Source organism: Homo sapiens, chromosome 9 (genome assembly GCF_000001405.40).
Source record: "Homo sapiens chromosome 9, GRCh38.p14 Primary Assembly".
Taxonomy (NCBI): domain Eukaryota; kingdom Metazoa; phylum Chordata; class Mammalia; order Primates; family Hominidae; genus Homo; species Homo sapiens.
The window spans coordinates 79835896-79860236 of NC_000009.12; the positions used below are offsets into that span (position 1 = coordinate 79835896).

At 37.3% G+C, this 24341-nt stretch overlaps 1 long non-coding RNA gene and 1 pseudogene across 1 annotated transcript in view; both read left to right on the forward strand.

Moving 5' to 3' along the window:
- Positions 1-24341, forward strand: part of LINC01507 (long intergenic non-protein coding RNA 1507) — a 210026-nt gene that overhangs the window by 11366 nt on the left and 174319 nt on the right. The window lies entirely within an intron of this gene.
- Positions 14910-15672, forward strand: LOC105376334 (ankyrin repeat domain-containing protein 36B-like; annotated as a pseudogene).

Sequence of the window (24341 nt, forward strand, 5' to 3'; positions counted from 1 at the left end):
AAAAAATCATAAGTTGTCTTGCATTTTAGAGCTAGGAAGTTTAGATTTTATCGATATACTTAAATCTTAGAATTTTAAGATAGAGAGGGATATGTATTTATAGAAAGATCAAGGAGGTAACTCTAAGAAGGGACTGGAAGAGGCAAAAATGGAAACATGAAGGCAAGATAAGAGACAGTGGACAGGATCCAGGTAAGAAATGTGTTTCTAGGGGTCAAGCTGAAGACAAGGTATAAATTCATCATCAATTTAGTCTGTTTAAGAAGTAGAGTTTACAACACATGGTAAGGATTGAAAATGGGGTTGAGAGGTCAGAGAAGAGTCCAGGTGTTGGGCAACAAACAGGGTTTTTGGTCATTCATCTGTGAAACAGGGAATTGGGAGGGAGATCTGATTTGTATGTCTTGTGTTCATCATGAGTGGTGTGTATAGGGATCCTGTACAGAAAGGAGACTGTGAGCGTTCACATGTGAATAGGTAATACTAGAGCCCTAGAGAGATGTCTGAGCTGAAAATAGAACTTTGTGGTCTTCTAATATACATAGTGAGTTATACAATTGGAAGAGATTATTTAGGAAGTCTATGAGCATGAGACTCCAAAAAGAATAGGAAAAGAGGAAATAAGAGGATACAAGAAAAGAAAAGGCCAATGAGAAAATTCTCAGGGTCACTAACATTTAAAGAATTGGAATAGAAAGAGCATGTTGTGAATGACGTAAAAATCAGATGAGGTGAAAGTGCATGTTCTTTTCAATAAACCTCCCTAAATGATGATATTCTATAGAGTACTTACTGCCTTTGGTCCTCTTAAATGATTTATCTAATTCCGTCTATTGCCAGACACCATTCTGGAGATACAATGATGAGCAAGTCATGATTTAGGCCTTCAAGTATCCTAGAGCAGGGTTTCTTAATTTCAGCACTATTTTTCGTTTTATAATTTCAACTTTTATTTTAGATTAAGGGGTACATATGCAGGTTTGTTACATGGGTATATTGTGTGATGCTGAGGTTTGGGGTATAAATTACCCTGTCACCCAGGTGGCAAGCATAGTACCCCAATAGGTAATTTTTCAGCACTTTTCCCCCTCCCTCACTTATCTCTCTAGCAGTCCTCAATGTCTATTTTTTTTTGATAGGATTCTTTTTTTCCAACTTTTATTTGAGACTCAAGGGGTACATGTGCAAGTTTTTTACACGGGTAAATTTCATGTTGCAGGCATTTAGTGTACAGATTATTTTGTCAGCTAGGCCATAAGAATAGTATCTGACAGGTAATTTTTTGATCCTCACCCTCCTCCTACTCTCCACCCTCTGATAGACCCCAGTGCCTATTTTTCCCTTCTTTGTGTCCATGTGTAATCAATGTTTAGCTCTCACTAATATAATAATATAAATGAGAACATGCAGTATTTGGTTTTCTGTTCCTGCATTAATTTGTTTAGCATGATGGCCTCCAGCTACATTTATGTTGCTGAAAAGGACATGATCTCATTAATTTTTATGGCTGTGTAGTATTCCATGGTATAAATGTATGACATTTTCTTTATCAAGTTCACTGTTGATGGACATCTAGGCTGAGTCCATGTTTTGCCATTGTGAATAGCCCTGCAGTGAACATATGTGTGCATGTGTTCTTTGGTAGAATGATTTATATTCCTTTGGGTATATACCCAGTAAAGGGATTGCTGAATTGAATGGTAGCGCCAAGTTCTTTGAGAAGCCTCCAAACAGCTTTCCACAGTGGCTGCACTAATTTACATTCCCACCAGCAATGTATAAGTGTTCCCTTTTCTCTGCAACCTCACAAACATCTGTTATTTTCTGATTTTGTTTTTTTGTTTGTTTGTTTTTTCATAATAGCCATTCTGACTGGTGTGAGATGATATCTCATTGTGGTTTTGATTTGCATTTATGCTGAGCATTTTTTCATAGGCTTGTTAGTCACATGCATGTCTTTTTAAAAGAAGTGTTCATGTCCTTTGCCCATTTTTTAAAGGAGTTGTTTGGGTTTTTGTTTTTTTTTTTTTAACCTGTCAATTTGCATAAATTCCTAATAGTTTCCAGATACTAGACCTTTCTCAGATGCATAGTTAGCAAACATTTTCTCCCATTCTGTAGCTGTCTGTTTATTCTTGGCTTCTTTTGCTGTACAGAAGCTCTTTAGTTTAATTAAGTTCCATTTGTCAATTGTTGGTTTTTGCAATTGCTTACAGCATCTCCATCATGAAATCTTTGCCAAGGCCTATGTCCAAAATGATATTCCCTAGGTTTTCTTTTAGAGTTTTTATAGTTTTAGGTCTCACATTTAAGTCTTTATTCCCTCGAGTTGATTTTTGTATATGGCAAAAGGAAGGGGTACAATATTAATCTTTTGCATATGACTAACCAGTTATCCCAGCACCATTTATTAAATAGGGAGTCATTTCTTTATTGCTTGTTTTTGATGACTTTGTCAAAGATCAGATGGTTGTCGATATGCATCTTTATTTCTGGGTTCTGTATGCTGTTCCACTGGTCTATGTGTCTGTTTTTGTACCAGTACCATGCCATTTTGGTTACTGTAGCCTTGTAGTATATTTTGAGGTTGGGTTATCTGATGCCTCTGGCTTTGTTCTTTTTGCTTAGGATGGCTTTGGGTATTAAGTCTCTTACTTAATAACATATAAAGTTTAGAATAGTTTTTCTAGTTCTGTCAAAAATGACATTGGTAGTTTGATAGAAATAGCACTGAATCTGTAAATCACTTTGGGCAATAAGGCATTTTAGCAATATTGATTCTTCCTATCCATGACCATGGCACATTTTTCCATTTGTTTGTGTCATCTCTGATTTCTTTCAGCAGTGTTTTATAATTCTCATTGCAGAGATCTTTCACCTCCCTAGTTGGCTGTATTCCTAGCCATGTTATTATTTTTGTATCTATTGTGAATGTGGTTGCATTCTTGACTTGGCAGTCAACTTGGATGTAACTACTGTATAGAATTGATTTTGTATCCTGAAACTTTCTAAAGTTCTTTATTCTTGGAGCTTTTGAGCAGAACTATGGGGTTTTCTAGGTATAGAATCATATAATCTGTGAAGAAAGATAGTTTGACTTCTTCTCTTCCTATTTGGATGCCTTATATTTCTTTTTCTTGCCTGATTGCTGTGGCTAAGACTTTCAGTACTACGTTGAATAGAAATGGTGAGAGTGGGCATTCTTCTCTTGTTCTGGTTCTCAAGGGGAACACTTCCAATTTTTGTCTGCTCTCTATGATGTTGGCTGTGGGTTTGTCAGAAATGGCTTTTATTATTTTGAGGTATATTCTTTCAATGCCTAGTTTGTTGGGGATTTTTTTTTTTAACATGAAGGGATGTTGAATTTTGTAGAAAGCCTTTTCTGCATCTATTGAGATGATCATATGTTTTTTGTTTTTAGTTAGGTTTATGTGATGAATCACATGTGTTGATTCGCATATGTTGAAAAAAACTTGTATCTTAGGAATAAATCTTGCCTGTTTGTGGTAAATTGGCTTTTTGATATGTTGTTGGATTGGGTGTACTAATACTTTGTTGAGGATTTTTGCATCTATGTTCATCAGGGATATTGGCTGGATGTTTTATTTTTTTCACTGTGACTCTGCAAGGTTTTGGTATCAGAATAATGCTATCATTGTAGAATGAGATAGGGAGAAGTCCCTTATTTTCATTTTTTCGGAATAGTTTCAGTAGGGCTGGTACCTGCTCTTTATACATGTGATAGAATTTAGTTGTGAATCTGTCTGGTGCAGGGTTTTCTGTGGTTGGCAGGCTTTTTATTACTGATTCAATTTTGGAACTTGTTATTGGTGTGTTCAGAGTTTCAATTTCTTCCTGGTTCAACCTTGGGATCTTATATGTTTCCAGGAATTTCTTCATTTCTTGTAGGTTTTCTAGTTTGCATGCATAGATGTATTCATAAGAATCTCTGATTTTTTTTATATTTTCGTGGGGTCAGTGGCAATGTCATCTTTGTCATTTCTGGTTGTGTTTATTCGGATCTTCTTTTTTTCATTAGCTAGTGGTATACCAATCTTATTTATTCTTTCAATAAATTGTTGGTTTAATTGATCTTCTGTATGGCTTTTCCCACCTCAATTTCATCCAGTTCAGCTCTGATATTGGTTATTTCTTTTCTTTTGGTAACTTTGGAATTAGTTTGCTCTTTTTTCTCTAATTCTTCAAAAGTGTGATGTTACCTTGTTAATTTGAAATCTTTCTAATTTCTTGATGTAGGCATTTAGTGCTATAAACTTTCCTCTTAACACTGTTTAGCTGTGTCTCAGAGATTCTTGTATGTGTATCTTTGCTTTGATACAACATACAAAAAAGGAAAATTTTGATTTTTGCCTTCATTTTATTCTTTACCCAAAAGTCATTCAGAAGCAAGCTGTTTAATTTCTATTTAATTGTATGGTTTGAGAGATCTTCTTAGTATTAATTTAAGTTTTTAATGTGCTGTGGTCCAGGAGTGTGGTTGGTATGATTTTGGTTTTTTTGAATTTGTTGAGAATTTTTTATGGCTGATTGTGGGGTTGATCTTGGAGTATGTGCTATGGGCAGATGAGAAGAATGTATATTCTCTTGTTATTGGGTAGAGTATTCTGTAGATGTCTGTTAGGTCCATTTGGTCAAGTGTTGAGTTTGGGTCCTAAATATTTTAATTAGTTTTCTGTCTTGATGATCAGTCTAACATTATCAGTGTGGTGTTCAAGTCTCCCACTATTATTGTACCATTATCTAAGTCTCTTCTCAGGTCTCTAAGAACTTGCTTTTTGAATCTGTGTGCTCTAGTGTGGGTGCATATATATTTAAGATAGTTGAGTCTTCTTACTGAATTAAACCCTTCATCATTATGTAATGCCTATCTTTGTCTTTTTTTATTGTTATGGGCTTAAAATCTGTTTTTTTTTTTTTTTGAAATAAGAATAGTGACTTCTGTTCTTTGTTTTCCATTTGCTTGATAGCTCTCTCTCCATTCCTTATCTTTGAGCCTATGGATGACATTGCATGTGAGATGGGTCTGTTGAAGACAGCATACAGTAGTGTCTTAATTCTTTATCCAATTTGCCACTTTGTGCCTATTAAGTGGGGCATTTAACCTGTTTATACTCAATGTTAATATTTGTATGTGAGGATTTGATATTGTTGTTGTGTTGTTAGCCGGTTGTTATGTAAACTTGATTATGTACTTGCTTTATAGTGTCAGTTGGCAGTGTATTTAAGTGTTTTTTTTGTGGTAGCAGGGAACTGTTTTTTGTTTCCATATTTAGCACTCCCTTAAGGACCTCTTCTAAGGTAGGACTGGTGATAATGAAGTCCCTTAGCATTTGCTTCTCTGAAAAAGATTTTATTTCCACTTCACTTGTGAAGGTTAGTTTTGCTGAATATGAAATGCATGGTTGATATTTCTTTTCTTTAAGGATGCTGAATACATACTCCAATCTCTTCTGGCTTGTAAGTTTTCTGCGGAATGGTCTACTGTTAGCCTGATGGTGTTCTCTTTACATGTGACCTGCCCATGCTGTCTATCTGCCTGTATTATTTTTTCTTTTGTGTAGACTTTGTAGAATCTGAGGATTACATGTCTTAGGGATGGCCATCTTGTACAGTATTTTGCAGGACTTCTCTCAATTTCCTGAATTTGCATGTCAACCTCTCTAGCAAGGTTGGCAAAATTTTCATGGACAGTATCCTCAAATGTTTTCCAAATCGCTTTCTCATCCACATCTATTCCAGGAATGCAAAAGAGTCACAGGTTTGATCTCTTTACATAATTCCATATTTCTTGGAGGTTTTGTTCATTTTTAAAAATCATTAACAATTTTTTTTGACTGCCTTTGCTGGTTCAAAGGAATTTCAAGCTCTGAGATTCTTTCCTCAGCTTGATCTATCCTGTTATTAATGCTTCAAGTTGAATTCTGTAATTTCCATAGTGAATTTTTTATTTCTAAGAGTTCAGTTTGGTGCTTTCTTAAAATGTCTATGTCATCTTTAAACTATTGGGCCATTTTATTGTTTTCCTTGGATTGAATTTCAACCTTATTTTATCTCAATGAGTTTCCTTGCCATCAAGATTCTGAATTCTATGTCTGTCATTTCAGCCTGGTTAAGAAACATTGCTGGGGAGCCAGTGCAGTCATTTGGAGGTAAGAAGATACTCTGGCTTTTGGAGTTGCCAAAGTTCTTGTGCTGGTTCATTTTGATCTGAGTGGTCTAATGTTCCCTTATTCTTTGAAGTTGTTGTCTTTTGGATGAGGCTTTTTGCTTTTGTATTCTTTGATGCCTTTAAGCATTTGACTGTGGTATGGGTTGGGTTTAGTCAAGTGGCATCATTTCTACATGCTTTCAGGGGGCCAAATTTTATCTTGGCATTCTTGGGCTGCATGCCCTAACTCTTGGGGGCTGGGATCAGGCCACCTGCAGCTTTGTTATTTGGCCTCTCAAGGTTAAGCACCTGCTGCACTAGAGGGGTTAAGGGGTTCCCAGCCTGCTGGCATCAAAATTCCAATGGAGGCTGCTGGCGAAAGCACCCCAGGGGGGCGGTAGTGACCTCCTTCACATACACATGCCAGCAAAGTGGCAGGGGTCCTTGTGTGCGTATGCACTGGTTATGGATCTGCAGGTGTATGTGCATCTGCAAGTCTGTGCATCTATGCATGCTGATGGGGCAGTGGCTGGCCCCATGCACATGTGCAGCAGTGGGTTGGTTGTGGGGAGGTTGAGGGTGAGTGGGCACAGGACAAGGAAGGCTGTGGGTTGGTCCATGCTGGTGGGGATCGGTGGGGATCTAGCTTCAAAAGTGTTATGATGGGTAGGTGATGTCTGTCAGTGAAAAAGCTGTGGTGGTGGCCGCTAGCAAGCTGAGGCTGTGCTGCTAATGGGTGCAGCCAGGCAGGGACCCTGGGAGAGGCTGACAGATATAGGGGTGTTCAGATCACATTGGCCTCACCCCACTGGCAAGACAGCCCTGCTTTGTCCACATCTAGCAGCTAATAAAAGCTAAAGCTACCTGGGGGAGTATGTTGAGCTTTGGAGGATGGGCACCAATAACCATTCTCCACTGCAGCCATTCCCATGCCAAACCTCCTGGGCTCTGTGCAGGCCGGAGTTCTGCCTCTGCAAACTCTCTGGGCAGTTCTCCCTACCAGCTCAGATGTCTGTGGGGATCATGGGGTCTGCTGCAGCTACAATCCCAGAGGACCATGGCTACAGTTGGCCAGTCCACACCTGTTTCGCTTGCTCCTTTCCTAGGAGCTGCTAATGGTGAGGTATGAGTGCCAGTTCTTAGAAACCCCATGCAGGTTTCCCAGCTATCTCTCCTTTTATCCTGCAGCCTGTATCCTCGCTCTGTCAACTCCCAATGCCCAAAAGTCATTCAGAAACTACTTTCAGATCTGCTCAGAGTGTGCCAGTCTACCTGATGGTCTGGTCTCTCCCGATGGGAGAAGCTCTTCCTGGCTGTTTGTAGTCAGCCATCTTGGCAGAGCTCAAAAAAAAAAAAAAATCACCCTTCTAAAGACTACTACTAAGTCAATTAAATTTGTAGGCAATAAAATTGTTAATATTGTTAATGGGATTTCAGTTATATTTTTGTGTTTTCATAGCTGACAACAGAGATATTTGGATTAAAATATCATCACCATGGAGGCTTTTTAGTTCCTGCTTATAAAATTATCAAATTTATATAATATTAATAGATCACTTTCTTACTGGTGGAAAGAAAGCTTTTCTAAACAGCTTTCCACCAGTAAAAAGTTGTGGCAAAGTCTCTGTAACCAGAAATGCTGGTTATCAAAATGCAAGAAATGTATAAAAAGCTTTGAATAATGTTTATGAATTGTCAAAGTATAATACATTTGTATTTCTCCAGTTTTACTGTTAAAGAGCAATGAGGAGAATTGTTGTGTTATATTTTTGTTCACTATAAAAATAAATTAAAATAGGCCAGGTGTGGTGGCCCATGCCTGTTATCCCAGCACTTTGGGAGGCCAAGGCAAGAGGATTGCTTGAGGCCTGGAGTTCGAGATCAACCTGGGCTGAATAGCAAGACCCTGTCTCTCCAAAAAATAAATTAAACTAGCTCCAAGCATCTCTATTCTCTTTCCTGGTCTACCTAAATGAGAGCTTCTTAATGGAATCTTCTTACTCTACTAACCTCTCCAATTCTTGGATAAAAAGTACTCTTGACTCTGCTGTGGTTATTTAGATCTGTGATGCTGTAATCTTAAGCTCTGTTAACTAGAGATTGGTCCTAGATGCCACCTCCCTCCCACCTAGTTGAAGTGACAGAGTCTCTGTCGCCCAGGCTGGAGTGCAATGTTGGGATCTCAGCTCACTGCAACCTCTGCTTCCTGGGTTCAATCCATCCTCCCACCTCAGCCTCCCAAGTAGCTAGGATTACAGGCATGCTCCATCACACCTGGCTAATTGTTTTATATTTTTAATAGAGACAGGTTTTCACCATGTTGGCCAGTCTGGTCTCAAACTCCTGAACTTAAGTGATCTGCCCGCCTCGGCCTCCCAAATTGTTGGGATTACAGGCATGAATCACCTTGTTCGGCCGAACTGTAATCTTTGCTAGTAGAGAGTCTTGCCTCAATGCTGATGGCTGCTGACAGATCATAGTGGTGGTTATTGAAGGCTGGGGTGGCTGTGGCAATGTCTTAAAATAAGAACATCCATACTGTTCTTGTTGATTTTTCACCTCCTTCCATAAATCACAAATGTTCGTAATGCCATCCATAATGGGGAGTCCTTTCCAGCAAGTTTTCAATGTACTTTGCCAGATCCATTAGGGGAATCACTATCTATGACAGCTATAGCCTTACAAAATGTATTTCTTAAATAATAAAATTTGAAAGTTGAAATTACTCCTTGATCCATGGGCTGCCGAATGGATGCTGTGTTAGCAGGCATGAAAACAATATTAATCTCCTTGTACGTCCCCATTCAAGAACTCTTGAATGACTAGGTGCATTGTCAATGAACAGTAATACTGTGAAAGAAATCTTTTTTTTTCCTGAGGTATAGGTCTCTTCAGTAGGCTTAAAATATTCAGTAAACCATTCTGTAAGCAGATGTGCTGTCATCCTGACTTTGTTGCTCCATCTATAGAGCAAAGACAGAGTAGATTTAGCATAATTCTTAAGGGCCCTAGGATTTTTGGATAGTAAATGAGCATTGGCTTCAACTTAAAGTCATCAATTGCATTAGCCCCTAAAAAGAGAATCACTGTGTCCTTTGAAACTTTGAAGCCAGGCAGTGACTTCTTCTAGCTATGAAAGTCCTAGATGACATCTTCCAATAGAAGACTGTTTCATCTACATTGAAAGTCTGTTGTTTAGTGTAGCCACCTTCATCAATTATCTTAGCTAGATCTTTTGAATAACCTGCTGCAGATTTACATCAGCACTTACTGCTTCACTTTGTACTTTCATCTTACGAAGATGATTTCTTTCCTTAAACCTATGAACAAGCCTGTGTTAGATTCAAACTTTTATTCTGCTGTTTCCTCACCTCTCTCAGCCTTCAAAGAATTGAAGACATTTAGGGACGTGCACTGGATTAGGCTTTGGCTTAAGAGAATGTCATGGCTGGTTTAATCTTCTATACAAACCACTAAAACTTTCTCCATATCAGCAATAAGTCTATTTCACTTTCTTATCACTGCAGTAACACTTTTTTCAAGAATTTTTCTTTTGCATTCACAACTTGGCTGTTTGGTACAACAAGCCTAGCTTTTGGCCTATTTCAACTTTTGACATGCATTCCTCACTAAGCATAATCCTTTTGATTTAAATGAGAGACTTGTAACTTTTTCTTTCACTTGAACACTTATAGCCACCGTATGGTTATTAATTGGCCTGATTTCCATATTATTGTGTTTCAAGGATAGGAAAACCCAAGGAGAGGGGAAAAGATAGCAGAACTGCTGGTCATGGAATAGTCAGAGCACATACAACATTTATTGATTAAGTTGGCTATCTTATATGGGTGAGGTTTGTGACGCTCCAAAGTAATTACTAGGTTGGTGCAAACGTAATTGTGGCTTTTGCATTTTTGGGTTCTATGCTAATAAATGCTATGCCACTTTATATAAGAGAGTTGAGCATCCCTGGAGTTTGGTATTCATGGGGGTACTGGAACCAATTTCCCACAAATATAGAGTGGCAACTGAGTTTTGTTATGGCAGACCTAGAAAAGTATTAATATAGTAGTAACATCAAAGATTACTGATACTAATCACCATAACACATAAAATAGTAAGGAAAAAGTTCAAAATATTTTGGCAATTATCAAAATGTGATATCAAAATGTGACATAAAGAAACAAAGTGAGCACATGCTATTGGAAAAATGGTACCAATAGACTTACTTGATGCAGGGTTGTCACAAATCTTCAATTAGTAAAAAATGCAGTATCTGTGAAGCACAATAATGCAAAGTTTAATAAAATAAGGTATGCATGTATATATCACATTTTATTGATCCATTATTCCATAATTGGACAGTTGGTCAGTTTCCAGCTTTTAGCTATTGTGAATAATGCTTCTATGAACATTGGTTTACAAATATATGCTCAAGTCCCTGATATCAATTATTTTGCATATATACTTGGAAGTGGAATTGCTAAATCATATGATGTATTTGATGAATTTTCATATGTTGAAACATCCTTGCATTCCAGAAACAAATCCCACTTGATCATAGGTGTATAATCACATGCTGCTGAATTCAGTTTGTTCATATTTTGTTGAAATTTTAAAATTTTTTACATTAATTTTCATAAGAGTTATTGATCTGTATTTTTTTTTTGTAGCATTTTTGTCTGGCTTCAGCATCAGGATAATGCTGGCCCTACAGGAAAAGCTAGAAAGTGATTTCCTGCTCTTTGAGTTTTAGAAAAGTTTGATAAAGGCTGGCTTTGAGTTGCTGTGTAGCATCCTTCCATTTCAGCCTGAAAGTCTCCCCTTATCATTTCTTGTAAAGCAGAGCTAGTGGGAATAAACCCCTCAGATTTTGCTTATCTGAAAATGTCTGAATTTTTCCCTCATTCTGGTGGACAGTTTTGTTGGACATAGGATTCTCAGTTTAGAGTTTTGTTTTTCTTTTAGTACTTTAAATATATTAGCCAACCAACATTGGATTCCAAAGTTTCTTCCTAATAAATTGGTTGATAATCTTACTGCTGATGATTGGCACAGGATAAATCACTTCTTTATTGCTGCTTTCATGTTCCTTTTTCCTTGTTTTTATTTTTCAACAGTTTGGTAATGATGTGTTTCAGTGTAGTTTGAGTTTAGCTCACATAGAGTCTATTGAGCTTCTTGGATTTGTAGATTCATACCTTTAATCAAATTTGGAGATTTTTAGACATTATTTCTTCAAATAATCCCTTTGCCCTTTGTTCTCTCTGCCTTCTTGAACTCTCATAATGCATATATTGGTCCTCTTAATGGGGTGCCACAGGTATCTTCAGCTTTTTTGACTTTTTTCATTCTTTTTTGTAGGCTTTCTCATCAATAGTTTTTGACAATTTATTTTGTTCCCTTAAGTAGGTCATGTTTTCTTGTTTCTTTGCATGCCTTGTAATTTGTTGTAATTGTTGAAAAGTGAGCATCTGAAAAACAGACACATCTTCCAGTTTTTGAAGACAGACTCTGTCTAGGACAGTACTTCACTGATTAGCTGGATTTTCTCTGAGCCTAGGGATCAGCTAAAGGTGGAAGTTTAAGGTATTTTCTGAGTATTCATCTTTCCAGGGTCTGAAATTGGCCTTCTCAACTCTAAAATATACATGACTTCTCTCAAACGTCCTAATTTTCCAAAGAGTCTTACCCTAGATTCTCCTCAGGGCCTTAGATGGTGTATTCTATGTCTCTACCTGTAATCTTTTGTCATAGACATCATCAGGTCTGAAGTCTCCCTGTGGCTTTCAAAAGCAGAGCCTGGTACTTATACCACCTAAGATGTGAGTTATGCGAAATAGAAACCAGGCCTTTGAGCAGTCCCTGAACAGTTTAGAACATTGCAGATAAAATCTTCTCCCCTCTCTCCAGTTTGAGGGGGAGAACTGATAGCTGGGCTGTCACCTCTTCCAGGCCAAGACCATGAAACACAGAAGAGAGATGGGAATTTGGGCAAAGGCAGGTGAAAACACCTTAAAATGTCCTACCATATGAAGGTGGCCTTTTCCTGATTGAGTGTACATTCATTTGCTGTAAATCTTTGACTTTTTTTCAGAGCTTCTATAAGGTTAGTTCAGCCAGTTTCTGGTTCTTCCTTGGTGTTTTTGGTGTTTTCAGAGCTTAGAGATTCCTAGTCTGCCATTTTGCTAATGTCACTCTTGTCAGTTAGTCTTTTCATTGAACCATTTAATGAGTTCTCCTCATTCATTGACAACAGGACAGGGGCCATTCATTCTAAAGCACCACTGATACATATTTCACCAGTCCTCAATGGTATTATTTTCCATCCACATCCTATAGCCAGTTTCTACCATTCCACCAAAAATTACTGTCAAAGGCAACTTAATGACAGAGAAAGGACTTGGGGTTTTGAGATCATCAGGACTTGGTTAAAATTCTGGTCCATAATTACTTGTTTTTGTATCTTGGACAACCATCATAAACTCTGCAAGTCTCAGTATAGTGAGTTATTTCATTATTTTACCTGTAATATAATCACTTTGCAAATTTGATTTAAAAATCAAGATTAGGCTTGTGACTACCCCACCCCCCACCAATAACTCAAAATCCATCTCTCCCTTTTTTTCGCATGGTTTATCCTATGGAAATCCAATAAGAACTTTTATGCCTCTTTCGAATCGCTGTAGCACTTGTTATCTGTATCATTTATAAATATGTCAGTTGCAACTCTGTGACTGGAAATACAGTTTTTCTCTTTGCTTATGCCTTGGATCTTTCTTAATAATGTGTTCATTTGGAAATAAAGTCATGTCTCTATCTGTCAATTTATCTGTTGCTTATTTATTGACTGTTTCATAGACATTGTGTTCAGTTCTGGTTACAGATGCTAGTGAAATATAGTTCTACCGCAGAAGCTTACAGTCTGCAGAAAATAGAAAAAAACCAACAGCCTATGCCTCAAATACTTTTGCGTTTCCCAAAGAGAACACAATTAGTAGGTACAATAAATTAATGTGTTATAGGTAAACATATAGTTATTTGGCATCAAAACCCAGTTAACCACTTTTCTATTTTGAAATAGAAAACTTTTCTTTTCTCCTTGGTTTGCTCCTTGATATCTGGGATAAACTTAAGCCAGCAAGGAGCAAACCTTATGAGGTTCAGAACTTTAGTTCAGAGAAGCATTGAGAAGTTATTATCTGAACACTTATACAACATGCTTGACATGAAAATAGAGCTGGAAATCTCTCAAAGTTAGGGATCTTTCAGGAATTTCAATACTTCCTGCTGTTGGTTGGAAGGCCTTTAAGAATAGCCTCCTTTAAAATGCAGTTAAATATTCAACGACCTATGTATTGGCTAAGTGAGCTCAAGAAGGGAAAGAAACTTGTGTTTTAGTTCCATTTACTATGGAGCCTCTGGTCAAATTATTCACTTCTGCTATATCTCTGTCAGCTTATCATCTATAAAATAGAGGAAGCTCTAAAAACGTAGTGAGAGATGCTGCACAGCTTTATGTGTAATTGTGTTCATTTATCTTAGAATACCAAGGACATCTAAACTATTACTGCAGACAATTCAAATGTTATTTGGGGTCATCTAGTAGACTCTGTGGAAACAAAAGTAAAGAGGCCCCAGAATAACTGACTTTTCCAAGGGGCCACAATTATTTTCTGGCCAACTTGGAACAAAAACCTAGATCTCCTCAATTCCACTCTATTGTTCTTTCATTGAGTCCTAAACACAGATGCATAAACAGAAAATAAAATCCTTCTGTTCTATGTAACTTGTGCAGGGTTTGGCAATATCAAAATTGCAGCACTGAGTATTAAGAGGCATTTGGAAAATTCTGAAAATGAAGTAGGATACAGAACTCTGATACTGTAGATGAGCAGAACTGGTAAATAAAAGTGTATGAGGACTGTAGTTTCTAATAGGATAGTTGAGTTATTTTCTTCTGGTACCTTGAAGGCTCCAACCCAACATACAACTCTAAAACAAAATAAATTTTTCAACTAGATCACATTGAGTTCTACATGCATTCATGCAGACATGCATACATCTACATACACTGATGTAAATCAATAAAATATCCCATGTATCATTTATCATTTGCTTTTCTTGATTTTTAATTTCTACTTCATTCTTTCCAAACATAGAACAGAGACTGAATATAGGTATATGGGAGGCCACGGAGATGAAATAAGCTCACTTCATTCACCATGAAAATTAAGAACCTGACAACCTCTTTGTAGCTGAGAGTATCCAGACCAACTATCTTTGCTTTATAGGCAAGACTTCTGGAAAAATCAAGCTGACAAACTCTTAATTACCCAGTGTCCCTTGTCTGTTTCAATAAGTACAATTATATGAGAATTCTTCTAGAGACAGAGAAGGGCAGCCTTACTATCACCATGACCATAATGTGGATATGATGGGCTCAAATTATGTTAGAAGGGATGGAGCCTATTTCCCATTACTAATATTAATATAGTATAGCATTTAATATTCTCTTGGTTTTGTGCTAAATAATTTTTTCCATTCATTTAAATGGATGGGCTATAATTGAGTCTGTAGTGTATGTACTGTTGAAAGCTGAATAAATCTTTGTGGGTTACTAGTATCACTTTTATAAGTCACAGGTTTCTAGGGAAGATCTGCTGAAAAACTCTCAGTCTAGTATTACATTTATAACAAAATTGTAATGTAGCCTTCAGCAAGTTAAGCTCATCTGTAAAAGAAAGATACTTACACAGTAGATAAATTGTGTCATTTACAGGAAAATTTGAATTCTCATATTCTGATTCTTTCTCAGCAACTTCCTAAAGCTGAGAGTAAGTCCGGGGGCCTCGAAACTGCGCTCCATTACACAATAGAGGCTCTGAAAGAAAAGGCTTTGGTTTTTGAACACGTACAAAGAGAGCTAAACCAAACACAGTGTCAAATGAAGGACACTGAAAAAAATGTACAAAGATGGCCAAGATAAAGTAGAAAAATGCATAGAAAAGCAAATAAAATTATGTCAACTACAAAGACAAAATATGTTACTTCAACAGTAACTGGATGATGCTCACAACAAATCTGACAATCAAGAAAAAACAATAATTGATATTCAAGCCAAATGTGATGTTAGAGTACAAAACCTTCAAGCTGAGTGCAGAAAGCACTGTCTTTTGCTAGGAGAAGATTATAAGAAGTTGATCAATGAATTTAATCATTTGAAAGAAAAACAATGTCAATATGAAAGAGAAAAAGAAAGAGTAGTTGTGAGACAACTTCAACAAAAACAGGATGATATTCTAAACAAACAATCAACAACAAAAGCTCTGCTGGATGCTTCATTGTGTCACTGCGTCCATCTAGAATGTGAGATGCAGGATTCAAGGAAGAAATTAGGCCAGATGAGAAGTCAATTTCAAGAAATACAGGATCTTGGGAGGGTGTATGTGTCGAGGAATTTATCCATTTCTTCTAGATTTTCTAGTTTATTTGCGTAGAGGTGTTTGTAATATTCTCTGATGGTAGTTTGTATTTCTGTGGGATCGGTGGTGATATCCCCTTTATCATTTTTTATTGCGTCTATTTGATTCTTCTCTCTTTTTTTCTTTATTATTCTTGCTAGCGGTCTATCAATTTTGTTGATCCTTTCAAAAAACCAGCTCCTGGATTCATTAATTTTTTGAAGGGTTTTTTGTGTCTCTATTTCCTTCAGTTCTGCTCCAATTTTAGTTATTTTTTGCCTTCTGCTAGCTTTTGAATGTGTTTGCTCTTGCTTTTCTAGTTCTTGTAATTGTGATGTTAGGGTGTCAATTTTGGATCTTTCCTGCTTTCTCTTGTGGGCATTTAGTGCTATAAATTTCCCTCTACACACTGCTTTGAATGCGTCACAGAGATTCTGGTATGTTGTGTCTTTGTTCTTGTTGGTTTCAAAGAACATCTTTATTTCTGCCTGAATTTCGTTATGTACCCAGTAGTCATTCGGGAGCAGGTTGTTCAGTTTCCATGTAGTTGAGCGGTTTTGAGTGAGATTCTTAATCCTGAGTTCTAGTTTGATTGCACTGTGGTCTGAGAGATAGTTTGTTATAATTTCTGTTCTTTTACATTTGCTGAGGAGAGCTTTACTTCCAAATATGTGGTCAATTTTGGAATAGGTGTGGTGTGGTGCTGAAAAAAATGTATATTCTGTTGATTTGGGGTAGAGAGTTCTGTAGATGTCTATTAGGTCTGCTTGGTGCAGAGCTGAGTTCAATTCCTGGGTATGCTTGTTGACTTTCTGTCTCGTTGATCTGTCTAATGTTGACAGTGGGGTGTTAAAGTCTCCCATGATTAATGTGTGGGAGTCTAAGTCTCTTTGTAGGTCACTCAGGACTTGCTTTATGAATCTGGGTGCTCCTGTATTGGGTGCATATATATTTAGGATAGTTAGCTCTTCTTGTTGAATTGATCCCTTTACCATTATGTAATGGCCTTCTTTGTCTCTTTTGATCTTTGTTGGTTTAAAGTCTATTTTATCAGAGACTAGGATTGCAACCCCTGCCTTTTTTTGTTTTCCATTTCCTTGGTAGATCTTCCTCCATCCTTTTATTTTGAGCCTATGTGTGTGATGGGTTTCCTGAATACAGCACACTGATGGGTCTTGACTCTTTATCCAATTTGCCAGTCTGTGTCTTTTAATTGGAGCATTTAGAAGAAGTTGAATCTCGGAATAGACCAATAAAAGGATCTGAAATTGTGGCAATAATCAATAGCTTGCCAACCAAAAAGAGTCCAGGACCAGATGGATTCACAGCCGAATTCTACCAGAGGTACAAGGAGGAACTGGTACCATTCCTTCTGAAACTATTCCAATCAATAGAAAAAGAGGGAATCCTCCCTAACTCATTTTATGAGGCCAGCATCATCCTGATATCAAAGCCGGGCAGAGACACAACCAAAAAAGAGAATTTTAGACCAATATCCTTGATGAACATTGATGCAAAAATCCTCAATAAAATACTGGCAAACCAAATCCAGCAGCATATCAAAAAGCTTATCCACCATGATCAAGTGGGCTTCATCCCTGGGATGCAAGGCTCGTTCAATATATGCAAATCAATAAATGTAATCCAGCATATAAACAGAACCACAGACAAAAACCACATGATTATCTCAATAGATGCAGAAAAGGCCTTTGACAAAATTCAACAACCTTCATGCTAAAAACTCTCAATAAATTAGGTATTGATGGGACGTATTTCAAAATGATAAGAGCTATCTATGACAAACTCACAGCCAATATCATACTGAATGGGCAAAAACTGGAAGCATTCCCTGTGAAAACTGGCACAAGACAGGGATGCCCTCTCTCACCACTCCTATTCAACATAGTGTTGGAAGTTCTGGCCAGGGCAATTAGGCAGGAGAAGGAAATAAAGGGTATTCAATTAGGAAAAAAGGAAGTCAAATTGTCCCTGTTTGCAGACGACATGATTGTATATCTAGAAAACCCCATTGTCTCAGCCCAAAATCTCCTTAAGCTAATAAGCAACTTCAGCAAAGTCTCAGGATACAAAATCAATGTACAAAAATCACAAGCATTCTTATACACCAATAACAGACAAACAGAGAGCCAAATCATGAGTGAACTCCCATTCATAATTGCTTCAAAGAGAATAAAATACCTAGGAATCCAACTTACAAGGGATGTGAAGGACCTCTTCAAGGAGAACTACAAACCACTGCTCAAGGAAATAAAAGAGGATACAAACAAATGGAAGAATATTCCATGCTCATGGGTAGGAAGAATCAATATCGTGAAAATGGCCATACTGCCCAAGGTAATTTACAGATTCAATGCCATCCCCATCAAGCTACCAATGCCTTTCTTCACAGAATTGGAAAAAACTACTTTAAAGTTCATATGGAACCAAAAAAGAGCCCGCATCGCCAAGTCAATCCTAAGCCAAAAGAACAAAGCTGGAGGCATCACACTACCTGACTTCAAACTATACTACAAGGCAACAGTAACCAAAACAGCATGGTACTGGTACCAAAACAGAGATATAGATCAATGGAACAGAACAGAGCTCTCAGAAATAATGCTGCATATCTACAACTATCTGATCTTTGACAAACCTGAGAAAAACAAGCAATGGGGAAAGGATTCCCTATTTAATAAGTGGTTCTGGGAAAACTGGCTAGCCATATGTAGAAAGCTGAAACTGGATCCCTTCCTTACACCTTATACAAAAATCAATTCAAGATGGATTAAAGACTTAAACATTAGACCTAAAGCCATAAAAACCCTAGAAGAAAACCTAGGCATTACCATTCAGGATATAGGCATGGGCAAGGACTTCATGTCTAAAACACCAAAAGCAATGGCAACAAAAGACAAAATTGACAAATGGGATCTAATTAAACTAAAGAGCTTCTGCACAGCAAAAGAAACTACCATCAGAGTGAACAGGCAACCTACAAAATGGGAGAAAATTTTCTCAACCTACTCATCTGACAAAGGGCTAATATCCAGAATCTACAATGAACTCAAACAAATTTACAAGAAAAAAACAAACAACCCCATCAAAAAGTGGGCAAAGGGCATGAACAGACACTTCTCAAAAGAAGACATTTATGCAGCCAAAAAACACATGAAAAAATGCTGATCATCACTGGCCATCAGAGAAATGCAAATCAAAACCACAATGAGATGCCATCTCACACCAGTTAGAATGGCAATCATTGAAAAGTCAGGAAACAACAGGTGCTGGAGAGGATGTGGAGAAACAGGAACACTTTTACACTGTTGGTGGGACTGTAAACTAGTTCAACCATTGTGGAAGTCAGTGTGGCGATTCCTCAGGGATCTAGAACTAGAAATACCATTTGACCCAGCTATCCCATTACTGGGTAGATCCCCAAAGGACTATAAATCATGCTGCTATAAAGACACATGTACACATATGGTTATTGCAGCATTATTCACAATAGCAAAGACTTGGAACCAACCCAAATGTCCAACAATGATAGACTGGATTAAGAAAATGTGGCACATATACACCATGGAATACTATGCAGCCATAAAAAATGATGAGTTCATGTCCTTTGTAGGGACATGGATGAAATTGGAAATCATCATTCTCAGTAAACTATCACAAGAACAAAAAACCAAACACCACATATTCTCACTCTTGGGTGGGAATTGAACAATGAGAACACATGGACACAGGAAGGGGAACATCATACTCTGGGGACTGTTGTGGGGTGGGGGGAGGGGGGAGGGATGGCATTGGGAGATATACCTAATGCTAGATGACGAGTTAGTGGGTGCAGCGCACCAGCATGGCACATGTATACATATGTAACTAACCTGCACATTGTGCACATGTACCCTAAAACTTAAAGTATAATAATAAATTAATAAATAAATAAATAAAAGAAATACAGGATCAACTTACAGTGACTATAAGACGTAGTAAGGAGAAGCAACGCCACGTACAAAAGCTTGACATAGAAAATTCCAAGTCAAAAAATACAATTAAAAACTAAGATGACCAAATTGAGTGGCTTCAGAAAATCCTGTGAAGTTCAAGTTTGATGCAACGGATGTCACGAGAAAATGAAACTACAGAAGTAGATGAAGCTGCCTCTAAATTTAAATCTGGATCCTCTATAGCAGAGGTCCCCAACCTGCAGGCCACGGACAGGTCCAAGGCCTGTTAGGAACCAGGCTACACAGCAGGAGAGTTATTGTGGATCTTGTGGATCATCTGCATGCCATGTGAATCTTAAAACCAGTTTTCAATTACTACAAAAAAAAAAAAAAAAGCCTGCTTGGCTTGGGATGGGAATTGCATTATATCTATAGATGAGTATGGAAAAGAATGAACATCATAACAATGTTGAGTCTCTCAACCTATGAACAAGATATTTACTTAGGTCTTCTTTAATTTTTCTTAGCAATGCTTTTTAGTTATCAGTGTACAGATATTCCACATAGTTTGTCAGGTTTATTCCCAAGAATTTTATATTTTAATGCTATTGAAAATAGTATTATTTTAAAAATTTCAATTCCTAATTGTTTACTTTTAACATATAGAAACACAATTGATTTTTGTATATCAGTTATACATCCTGCAGTGTTGCAAAACTCACTTGCTGGTTTCAGTAACTTGGTAATGGATTTTATTTGGTTTTCTACATAGATGATCACATATGTGAATTGACAGTTTTACTTATTTATTTTCAATCTAAAGGCCTTTTATTATTCTCCTTCCCTCCCTCTTTCTCCCCACTCCCAATTAAAAAATGATTGCAGTGGCTAGAATTTCCAGTACAATGTTGAATAGAAGTGGTAAGAACTGACATCTCTGTCTTATTCTCAGTCTTAAGGGAAAGTATTCAGTCTTTCATCATTACATAGGATGTTAGCAGTAGATATCTTAAAGATGCCCTTCAACAGGTTGAGGAAATTCTCTGTATCCCTAGTTTGCTGAGATTATTTTTTAAATAAAGAATGATTGTTCAATTTTCAAAAACAAAACAAACAAAAAAGATACTTATACTTGCTGTCTCTACCTCAGGGGGCTCTTATAATAAACTCAATAGAGGTGTATATGCATGCATGTATTTCCAATATTTACAAATATTTAAAATGAATTCTGTAGAATGCACTATGAAAAATCGTGATTGTGTCTCCCTCAAATAGTTCCAGACTCCATTAAAATTACCTAAATGAACAACACCCTATATATTTACAAACATAGAACTCCAAATACTGCTTCTTGCAGTACCCTGTCCCAACCATGCTGCCTTCTTCTTCACACTAGTCCTCAATTCAGACACTATGGGGATTCATTTACTAATCGGTGCATACATTTAGTCATTCAAGATAATTTATTAATCCCCTACCAAATGCCAGGTACTGCCCTTTGGTATGTTTCACAGGTACATTGAGGAAATATAGCCATAAACAAAAAATGATAAATATCTTCACCTTGTAGTTGGAGGGGGACACAAAAATAAATAAATGAATAATCTTATAAACATATACATAAATATATAAATAAAAATAGATGGGTAAAATAAATAGTACATCAGATAATTGCTAGGGCGAAGTAGAAAACTGGGAAAGGAGATAAAGACTGTTAGATGGTGGGGGGAGGTTGCAACTTGAAATTATGGGGGAGGTGAAATTTAAGAAGGAGCCTGAGGGTGTTCCAGGAAACAATAATGTGCATATCTGGGAAATGAGCCTTACAGGCAGAGCGAACAGCCAAATGGGAAGGCTGTGAGGCAAGAATGTCCATGAGTATTTAGGGAACAGAAAGGGCACCAGTGTGTGAGGGAGAGAGGGATCAGAGTGGAGAGGAGAAGGAAATGATGTCAGCAAGGAAACGGAGAACATGGGTTGCTAGGGGTTTGGAGGCATTTAGAGGACTTTGGCTTTTGCTTTGAGCAAGCCATTATAGAGGTTTGAGTGATACAATCTGATTTAGGTTTTAACAGGATCTCTCTGGATGAATGTTAATTAAAAATTGTAGAAAAGTAAAAAAAAAAAAAAAAATTAGGGAGACCAATTCCTTTACAGAAGTGATTTACTCAAATATTTGCTTTCTACTCAGTAAAGAAATAGATCAGTGATGGGCAAAAAAATGGCCCATAGATCTTTTTGTATGACCTGTGAGCTAAGAATGATTCTTACATTTTGAAAGGGTTCTTGAAGAAAAAGAAAAAGGAGGAGAAAGGGGAACTACAGAAACTGTTTACGGCCTACAAAACATAAAATATTTAAAGTCTGGAAAATATTTGCTAAATCTTCAAGTAAAGGATGTAACTGGAAGTAGGTTCTCAATAAAATTGGAAACAGAAATACATGAGAAAATAGTTGCTAAAAACATTGTGAAGCGATAGGTGTTAAGAAATGTCTATGGTTTCATTCCCAACCTTCACAATGTCATAATTTCCACTGAGATATTGAAAAATATGGTCGGTTTGTAAAAGAATAAACAAAAAGGCACTGTGTCACCTAGACAATGTCATACATAAAATTGTATAGTAATAACAAAAATAATAACACAAAGTATTTTTATAGAACTTAAAATTTTACAAAGCATTTTCATGTTAATTACCTCATTTCACCTTCAAATCAACTGCATGGGAGAGGTATAATTTCCTTATTAGAAATTACTGTATCCTAAATCTTTAGTGATTGATTGCTCAAAAAAAGTTGACATCATAAATGCTACATCTGTTAACAGAGGTTGGTTTTCTCCTATGAGAACATTGGATACTAAAATCAACAGGGACTTGTAGTAAAAAAGGATAGACCATGAACACATATTAGCCTTGTGTTCCTCCTGAAAACATACTTAAATAAAAGTATAAAGATACCGAAATTAGTAGACCAATAAAAGTCAAGAGATTGTGGAAGTCATCAACCACAGAAAGGTTTTGTTACATGTCTGGAAAACAAAAAGTGAACTGGAGGGGTAATTAATAAAACAATCAAGAAGAGTATCTTAAGAAGCAACTGCACAAAGTCAGTCTGTTTTTGCTGAGCCTTCGGTATAGTCAAAGGCAGAAGTGTGTGAACAAAGTGAAACTGAAAGAGCCAATCCTGGACCCTGATTGGTTAACTGGACTCCAAGCAGCCATTGGCTGACTAGAGGTCACACAGGTACTTTGAATTCCCTCAAAATCCACACCATTTCAACCTGGGAACTTTCAGACATCACCTGAACCAACCAATTAGAGCTCGCCTGCCTAAGCCAATCAGGGCTCAGCTGTATGAACGAGGCAGGGCTTCTCTGTATCAGCTAATTAGAGCTCAGTTGCATCAAACTATTGGAACTCAGCTGTGTTGACCAATCTGAATTAAGCAAGTTTCTAACCTTTCATTTGTGTAAATGGACCTGAATGGGAACCTAGACAGAAAATTTCTGCTGTAAAACTCAAGCCTTCCCTGTAGGGTGAACCGTGTAGCCTAATATAAAACCTACCAAGAGAATTGCATGGGGCTATAGAAGCAAAGCCAAAAGATTACACTCTCATGCCTGTAATCCCAGCACTTTGGGAGGCCGAGGTAGGCGGATCATGAGGTCAGGAGTTCGAGACCAGCCTGGCCAACATAGTGAAACCCCGTCTCTACTAAAAATACAAAAAATTAGTTGGACATGGTGGCAGGTGCCTGTAATCCCAGCTACTCAGGAGACTGATACAGGAGAATGGCTTGAACCTGGGAGGTGGAGGTTGCAGTGAGCCAAGATCATGCCATTGCGCTCCAGCCTGGCTGGGTGACAAAGCAAGACTCTGTCTCAAAAAAAAAAAAAAAAAAAAAAAGATTCTACTCAGCATTGTCTACAGTCACACCCCCTAGGCCCTAGGAAGGGGGTGAGGATAGAAAGGGAAAATGAAAGAAAAAACAATAATACTATTATTATAGGGAAAGAAAGAAGAAAAAGAAGAAATACTACCTGCACGGAACTAATTATAAAAGTTAGAAGTGCCAGTGTCTCCAGGTGAGAAGAAACCAGTCAAATAATGTTGGAACCATGAAAAATCTGAAAGTAGTGATACTACCAAAGGATTGCACTAGCTCTCCATCAATGGATGGAGATTTAGTTAGGTTTGATTCCTAACCAAAATGGAAACTCAGAAGTGACAGGTAAAGAATTCAAAGCATGGATTGCAAGGAAGCTCAATGAGATCCAAGACAAAGTTGGAAATCAACACAAAGAAACTGCTAAAGCAATCCAGGAAAGGAGAGGAATGTGTAGTGACTGACAGCAAGGAGACAAAAGGTATTTTAGAGGAAAAAAGTCTATTTAATGAACTCCATAGGTCAGTAAAGTCTAGAGGACTCAGTATGTCCCCATATTGACTCTATATGACTTAAAATGGATTGTTGGTGATTAAGACAAGAAAAGGGGGAGTGAGAGTGTCAACCACAGTTTGCCAGCTATGGTTTATTGTCACTACCACAATTCCATCCCAAACTGGCCAACCCCAGATTCATTTTCTATGATTGAAAATTGTTCCTTTTTTTCCTCAAAAAAAGATAGAGGTGATTTTTTGTGGAATATCCTTGTCCAAATTTCCTTGTATTGTCCTGAAGCCCAAATATGCATTATTGTGTTTAATAATTTTTTTTCCTTTTTGGAGAATAAATGAAAATAATATGGTATTAATT